The 8131-nt window shown below is 45.9% G+C and overlaps 1 annotated feature.

Moving 5' to 3' along the window:
• Positions 7190-7778: a transcriptional cis regulatory region, noted in NCBI's record as "candidate enhancer chr9.246 targeted for multiplex CRISPR interference". NCBI's record gives its function as "positively regulates PLIN2 gene expression with high confidence in K562 cells {active_cell/tissue: K562}" and the evidence as "EXISTENCE:mutant phenotype evidence [ECO:0000015][PMID:30612741]".

Here is an 8131-nt window from a genome sequence, read left to right as displayed (position 1 = left end):
GATTGGAGTCATTTCCTGTTAAAATGTTACATCTACTTTGTGGTGCTAAGAGGCTTACTGGTCTTATGATAAGACAGATAAATGACTCAGTAACTGTCTCTTCCTGAACTTTGGTCTAATTTGTGTTACAATGACATGTACTTCCCTGTGAACTTTCACCTAGATAGCTGATTCCCTGAAATTATTAAGAGTACTGCAGGTGGGCCTAATAATCCTCTTTATTGATTTTGAGATATCTAAACACTTCATAAATATTAGCAAATACGTGTAAAGTTAAAACTCCTTTCTTTCTTTCTTTCTTTTTTTTTTTTTGTGAGACAGAGTCTTGTTTTGTCACCCAGGCTGGAGTGCAGTGGATCAGTCTCCGCTCACTGCAACCTCTGCCTCCCGGGTTCAAGCGAATCTCATGCCTCAGGCTCCCAAGCAGCTGGAATTACAAGCTCGTGCCACCATGCTCAGCTAATTTTTTGTATTTTTTAACAGAGATGAGGTTTCAGCCATGTTGGCCAGGCTGGTCTCAAACTCCTGACCTCGAATGATGCACCTGGGTCAGTCTTCCACTGCTTTGGGATTCCAGGCATGAGCGACTGGGACTGGCCAAAACTCCTCTATCTCACCCATAAAAAACAGCACTGGTCTATAATTTTCATCTTGTGGAAATACTAATAATTAATATTGATAGAGTCCTTACCACACACTACGTATTGTTCTAAGCCCTTTAGGTAATACTCTCATGAGGTGGGCTCTATTGTTATTATCCCCATTTTATTTTTTTATTAGATTTTTTTTTTTTTTTTGTCTGGGCATGATGGCTCATGCCTGTAACCCCAGTACTTTGGGAGGCAGAGGTGGGTGGATCACTTGAGGTCCGGAGTTTGAGACCAGCTTGGCCAACATGACAAAACCCCATCTTTACTAAAAATAAAAAAATTAGCCAGGTATGGTGGTGCATGCCTATAATCCCAGCTGTTGCCTCAGGAGGCTGAGGCAAAAGAATCCCTTGAGCCCAGGAGGCAGAGGTTGCAGTGACCTGAGATCGTGCCACTGCACTTCAGCCTGGGCGACAGAACAAGACATCATCTCGAAAAAATTAAATTAAATTAAAAAATAATAAATAATTTTTTTGGAGACAGCATCTCACTGTATCGCCCAGGCTGGAGTGCAGTGGCACGATCTCAGCTCACTGCAACCTCCACCTACCGAGTTCAAACGATTCTCCTGCCTCAGTCTCCCAGGTAGCTGGGATTACAGGCGCCCACCACCATGCCCGGCTAATTTTTTGTATTTTTAGTAGAGACGGGGTTTCACCATGTTGGCCAGGCTGGTCTTGACCTTCTGACGTCAGGTGATCCACCCACCTTGGCCTCCCAAAGTTCTGGGCTTACAGGAGTGAGCCACCACACCCTGCTTTTTTTTTTTTTTTTTTAAGAGACAGAGTATTGCTATGTTGCCCAGGCTGGACTTGATCTCCTGGGCTCAAGCGATCTACATGCTATAGCCTCCCAAGAAGCAGAGGTTAAAGACCTTGCTCCAAATCCACCCGCTTTGTGAGAGCGTCCTTGCAACACTGACCTCAGTCCTCCTCCCACTCTGACTCTAAATAAGCTGCTTCTTCAGCTGTGTCCTCAAGGCATGGTATATCTGATTCTCTCTGTAGATCACATTCCATCCCCCATGTAGTACATTTTGCTGTTTATAATCTGTTGTAGAACATAGGCTCCTTGAGATTGAGAACTGACACTATTTCATTTCTATATCCCTTTGCAAGTTCTACTTAGGTTTCTGCAACCTCCACCTCCTGGGTTCACACAATTCTCCTGCCTCAGCCTCTGAGTAGCTGGGATTACAGGCGCGTGCCGGCACACCTGGCTAATTTTTGTATTTTTAGTAGAGACGGGGTTTCGCCATGTTGGCTATGGCTGGTTCCAAACTCCCGACCTCAGGTGATCCACTCACCTTGGCCTCCCAAAATGCTGGGTTTACAGGCATAAGCCACCATGCCCGGCCACATTATTCACATTTCAAGTGCTCAATTGCCATACCTGGCTGGCAGCTAGTGTATGAGCAACACAGACACAGGGCATTTCCATCACTGTAGAAAGTTCAACCAGACAGTACTAATCTGGAAAGATCATTGGTACAGATCACTGGAGTTACAGTTTGTTTGGTTTTTTGTTTTGTTTTGTTTTTTCTTTCTGAGATGGAGTCTTGCCATGTCGCCCAGGCTGGAGTGCGATCTCAGCTCATTGCAATCTCCACCTCCCAGGTTCAAGTGATTCTCCTGCCTCAGCCTCCCAAGCAGCTGGGACTACAAGCGCGTGCCACCACACCCAGCTAATTTTTTGTATTTTTAGTAGAGACAGGGTTTCGCTGTGTTAGCCAGGATGGTCTCGATCTCCTGACCTCGTGATCCACCCGCCTCGGCCTCTGAAAGTGCTGGGATTACAGGCGTGAGCCACCACACCCAGCCTGGAGTTACAGTTTGTATACCATTAAGAAACTGTTCTGGGAGGGTGGGGGCAGTGGCTTATGCCTGTAATCCCAGCACTTTGGGAGGCCTAGGCAAAAGGATCCCTTGAGGGCAGGAGTTCAAGACCAGCCTAAGCTACATAGTGAGACTCCATCTCTACAAAAAATGAAAAATTGGCCAGGCGTGGTGGCTTGCCTCTGTAGTCCCAGATGCTCAGGCGGCTGAGGCAGGAGAATCACTTGAGCCCAGTAGGTCAAGGCTCCAGTGAGCCATGGTGGCACCACTGCACTTCAGCCTGGATGACAAGGTTAGACTGTCTTTCAAATAAATAAAAGAAAAAAGCCAGGCGAGGTGGCTCACACTGTAATCCCAGCACTTTGGGAGGCCGAGGCGGGCGGATCACGAGGTCAGGAGATCGAGACCACGGTGAAACCCCGTCTCTACTAAAAATACAAAAAACAATTAGCCGGGCGCGGTGGTGGGAGCCTGTAGTCCCAGCTACTCGGGAGGCTGAGGCAGGAGAATGGCGTGAACCCGGGAGGTGAAGCTTGCAGTGAGCCGAGATTGCGCCACTGCACTCCAGCCTGGGCGACAGAGCGAGACTCCATCTCAAAAAAAAAAAAAAAGAAAAAAACTGTTCTTGGGAGCACTTGAGGGTAACATTGATCATAACATCGTCTTGGAGAATAACTGTTAATGATTTACCTTTAGAATATTCCACACTTGGTAAATGACTTAGGCTTACAGTAGAGAAAGAAGAAAAAGAAAAAAAGAAGCCATCAGTAAAACAACCATGTTAGAAAACTGCACCTGGGTGCAGTGTCTCACGCCTGTAATCCCAGCACTTTGGGAGGCCAAGGTGGGAAGATCACTTGAGGTCAGGAGTTTGAGACCAGCCTGGCCAACATGTTGAAACCCCGTCTCTACTAAAAATACAAAAATTAGCCAGGTATGGTGGTGGGTGCCTGTAATCCCAGCTACTCAGGAGGCTGAGGCAGGAGAATCACTTGAACCCCGGAGGCAGAGGTTGCAGTGAGCTGAGATCGCAACACTGCACTCTAGCCTGGGTGACAAGAACGAGACTCCATCTCAAAGAAAGAAAAAAAGAAAAAAGGAAAATTGCTTTGAGGCAAACCTCAGTAATCACAATGTTGTATCTTAAGTAATAATTAACAATTGTGAAAGCATATTTCTGTAGGCCTTTTGCAAGATACACAGAGTAAAAATCGGGCACATAAAGGTTGGGATTATAAAAGGATGTTCATTCATTTTTCAAGTTTGTGTAGTAACTTGCCTGACATTTATGTCAACTAAAAAAAAAAGTAAGATGACTGGCTACAGTGGCTCACGCCTGTAATCCCAGCATTTTGGGATGCCAACAAGAGTGGATCACCTGAGGTCAGGAATTCAAAACCAGCCTGACCAACATGGCAAAACCCCATCTCTACTAAAAATACAAGAGCTAGCCGGGCACGGTGGCACTTGCCTGTAATACTCAGGAGGCTGAGGCAGGAGAATCGCTTGAACCCAGGAGGCGGAGGTTGCAGTGAGCCAAGATCACACCACTGCACTCCACACTGGGCAACAAAGCCAGACTCCATCTCAAAAAAAAAGTCCCAGCACTTTTGGAGGCCAAGGCAGGTGGATCACCTGAGGTTGGGAGTTCAAGAGCAGCCTGACCAACATGGAAAACCCCCCTCTCTACTAAATACACAAAATTAGCTGGGCGTGGTGGCGCATGCCTGTAATCCCAGCTACTCGGGAGGCTGAGGCAGGAGAATCGCTTGAACACAGGGCGCTGAGGTTGCAGAGAGCTGAGATCACACCATTGCATTCCAGCCTGGGCAACAAGAGAGCAAAACTCCATCTCAAAAAAACAAACAAATTAGTCAAGTGTGGTGGTGTGCGCCTGTGGTCCCAGCTACTTGAGAGGCTGAGGTGGGAGGATGAACCCAGGAAGTCAAGTCTGCAATGAGCCGCGATCGTGCCATTGCACTTTGGCCTGGACAACAGAGAGAGATCCTGCTCAAAAAAGAAGAGGAGGAAGAGAGAAGAAGAAGAGGAAGAGGAAGGAGAAGGAGAAAGAAAAGGCTTTCAATGTGTCATAATTTTCTTTTCTTTTTTTTTTGAGACAGAGTCTTGCTCTGTTGCCCAGGCTGGAGTGCAGTGGCGCGATCTCGGCTCACTGCAAGCTCCTCCTCCAGGGTTCACGCCATTCTCCTGTCTCAGCCTCTGGAGTAGCTGGGACTATAGGCGCCACCACCACGCCCAGCTAATTTTTTATATTATTTGTAGAGATGGGGTTTCACCATGTTAGCCAGGATCGTCTCCATCTCCTGACTTTGTCATCCGCCCGCCTTGGCCTCCCAGAGTGCTGGGATTACAGGCGTGAGCCACTGCACCCGGCCCAATGTGTCATAATTTTCTGGCATCAATGAGAATTGGTACTTTTCCCAGTGATTTCTCCTATGATTCCCTCAGCCTGTTCTCTAAATCTAGCCATTACTGAAGGTTTTCTCAGAACCTCCTTTCTTTTCTCTCTGGACCCTCTCTCTTGATCATAAGCCATCTCACACAACTCCTAACTCCTAATTCCAAGGCAATGACTCCTTTTTTTTTTTCGGGGGGGTGGGGGGGTGGACAGAGTTTCACTCTTTTTGTCCAGGCTGGAGAGCAATGGTGTGATCTCGGCTCACCGCAACCTCTGCCTCCCGGGTTCAAGTGATTCTTCTGCCTCAGCCTCCCGAGTAGCTGGGATTACAGGCATGTGCCACCATGCCCAGCTAATTTAGTATTTTTAGTAGAGACGGGGTTTCTCCATGTTGGATTTTGGTCAGGCTGGTCTCGAACTCCTGACTGCAGGTGATCCGCCCACCTCGGCCTCCCAAAGTGCTGGGATTACAGGCATGAGCCACCGCGCCTGGCTGTCAATGACTCCTAAATCAACCTTCACCACCCTGAGCTATCTGTGCACAGAGGGACAATGTGTGCTGGTGTCTAAGGATGACACTTAGACCACAGACCAAGAACATAGGTAACACCTGTGCATTGTAATAAAGCCCTAGATGGTAGGTTGGCAAACCTTGTCTTTAAAGGGCCAGATAGCAAATACTTTCAATTCTGTGGACCATGGGGTTTCCCTGTCCTGATTATTCAGCTTGGTCATTGTAACATGAAAGCAGGCAGAGACAATATGAAATCAAAGAGGCATAGCTGTATCCCCATAGGTTTTTATTTGCAAAAGCAGGTGGCAGGCAGGAGCTGGTTGTGGTTTGCTAAGCCCTTTGATCATTGATTTTCAAACAAGAAGCCCCTTCAGAATCCACTTGGAGAGAAAGAAAGAAATGAGAGGAAGGAAAGAACTCAGTTCTTCCCTCCCACTTATTCCAACCAGAGTAATTTAGCTTTAATCTATTTGTTTACAATGGCTGACTAACATTTCATTTGTACAAAGGGTTTCAGGGCCAAAAAGTTTGAAAGCTGCTTGTCTACCTGTTCTCTGAGTTTCATTCTAGGTATGAATCTGTCACCTTGCTCAATCTAGTCACTGTCTGCTCTGAGCCACATTCTCTGCCAAAGTAGTAACCGAACTGCCCACTTCTGATCACATTACTTATCAACCTTCAGTGACTCCCTATGAGGCATTCCCAAGCTTCCCCCTTAATCTAACATACCTTCTCCATCAGCCACCCTGGGCTCTGTGCAGGAGACTCCCCAAAGGTGCTTTTCCTTCCTTCTGTTTCTGCACATTCTCCCCTTGCCTGAGAGGCTCTCTGCCTCCCATCCCATGCTCTTTGTAATCATCTATTTCACCACCCAGAAGCAGCTTCTCTTCTATGTTCCTGCTGTACTTTGTTCATGGGGCTTTTATGTGTGCATGTTCTAGCTCCCCTGCTGGATTAATTATCCTTATTAAGGGCAGGAATTACATTTTATAGATCTCTGTACCCAGCATAGGCATTAGCAAGATACCATATGCACAACAGCTATTTGAGCTCTTTATTTAGGTTGAAATGGGGCATGCCCTGGCAGAGTGCATCCTACCTCGCCAAATATTTCTTCACCTGTCTGTCATCTTCTCACTCCCACCTCCTCTCACCATCTGTAGGAGGCTATCATTACAATGCACAGGTGTTACCTAAGTTCTTAGATTATAGAACACCTGGTTGATGCCTGGGAGCTAAAAGAACAAGATCCAGGTCAACTAGTAGTGAACAAGACATGAGAAAGAGGCTTGAGAGAGAGACAAGTCCACAAGCCTTTGATGACAGGCAGACATAAGCTCTCTGGCCCTAGTGGGAAACGTCTAGGCTGAGACAATTGCCAGAGTTTGGAAATACATTGTTTTACAGTAGAAAGAGAGCAGTAGGTCTTGGAAAAGAACATACTTAATATTTACAGCTGTTTAATATTAGGTGGATTTCTAATCCTCTGAGCCTCATCTGTAAATTAGGAATAAAACATCTTCTGTAAACCTCTGAGGGTTAGCAATAATGTTCCTCATACGTAGCATACACAGCAGGCTCAATAAGTGGAATTACAGGTTGTGAAGAAAGGGAGTAAAGAGGCAAATGAGATGTAAAAACAAGAAGAAGGAAAGGTTGTTTTAAAGATAAATGTCTTTATTTTTCTTTATAGTCTTGCTATGTTGCCCAGGCTGGACTTGAACTCCTGGCCTCAAGTGATCATCCCACTTTGGCATCCCAAAGTGTTAGGATTACAGACATGAGTTACCATGGCTGATCAAGAAAAATGTCATGAACTACTCTTTTTTTTTTTTCCACGTATGACCAGTAAATCACATTGGGCTCCTTTTAACCATGGCTGAAGTGAGACTGTAATGATGTGGCATGTGCATAGGAATCACTTGGACATCTTGTGAAATGGCAGATTCTCATTCTATAGGTCTGGGTGGGCCTGATACTGTGCATTTATGATGTAATTCGGCTGGTCTGTGAACCACACACTGTGAGTAGAAAAGTGGTTGTCCATGTAGGCTGTTGAGATAAAAACAGATGAGTCAGCTGGGATGCCTGGTCTGCTTCCCTCACATGCCTAAAAGCTACCATGCTTTCAAGAAGAAGGAGGTCAGCTGAGGGAGGTTAAACTGTTAGGGAGAACAGCACCACGTGGAATGATAAGGGCCAAAGGATGGCGCAATTACAAGTGAAAAAGAGAACTTGTGTTCTTTGGGCCTTATCTACAGACCATATTCGGACACAAGAAACTGGATTGAAATTCTTCTCAGGGAACGTTAATCTCTTTGGACCTTGGTTGAAATGCTGGAATAATTAAAAAAAAAAAAAAGATTAAGCAAGATACCATTAGAAGCTTTTGCAACAAGACACAGTTTCATCAGCGGTAAAATGAGAATAATAATAGCAATACCTAAAGTAAATGTAGCAAATTAGTCATTGCAGAATCTAGGTGGTGGGAGTGTGGGTGTTCACTGAACAATTCTTTCTTTCTTTTCTTTTCTTTCTTTCTTTTTTTTTTTTGAGATGGAGTCTTGCTCTGTCTAACAGGCTGGAGTGCAGTGGTGTGATCTCAGCTCACTGCAGCCTCCACCTCTGGGGCTCAAGTGATTCTCCTTCCTCAGCCTCCCGAGTAGCTGGGATTACAGGTGCCTGCCACCACACCCAGCTAATTTTTGTAGTTTTG

The sequence above is a fragment of the Homo sapiens genome, chromosome 9, assembly GCF_000001405.40.
Source record: "Homo sapiens chromosome 9, GRCh38.p14 Primary Assembly".
Classification (NCBI taxonomy): Eukaryota; Metazoa; Chordata; class Mammalia; order Primates; family Hominidae; genus Homo; species Homo sapiens.
This window is presented reverse-complemented; position numbering and strand designations above follow the sequence as displayed.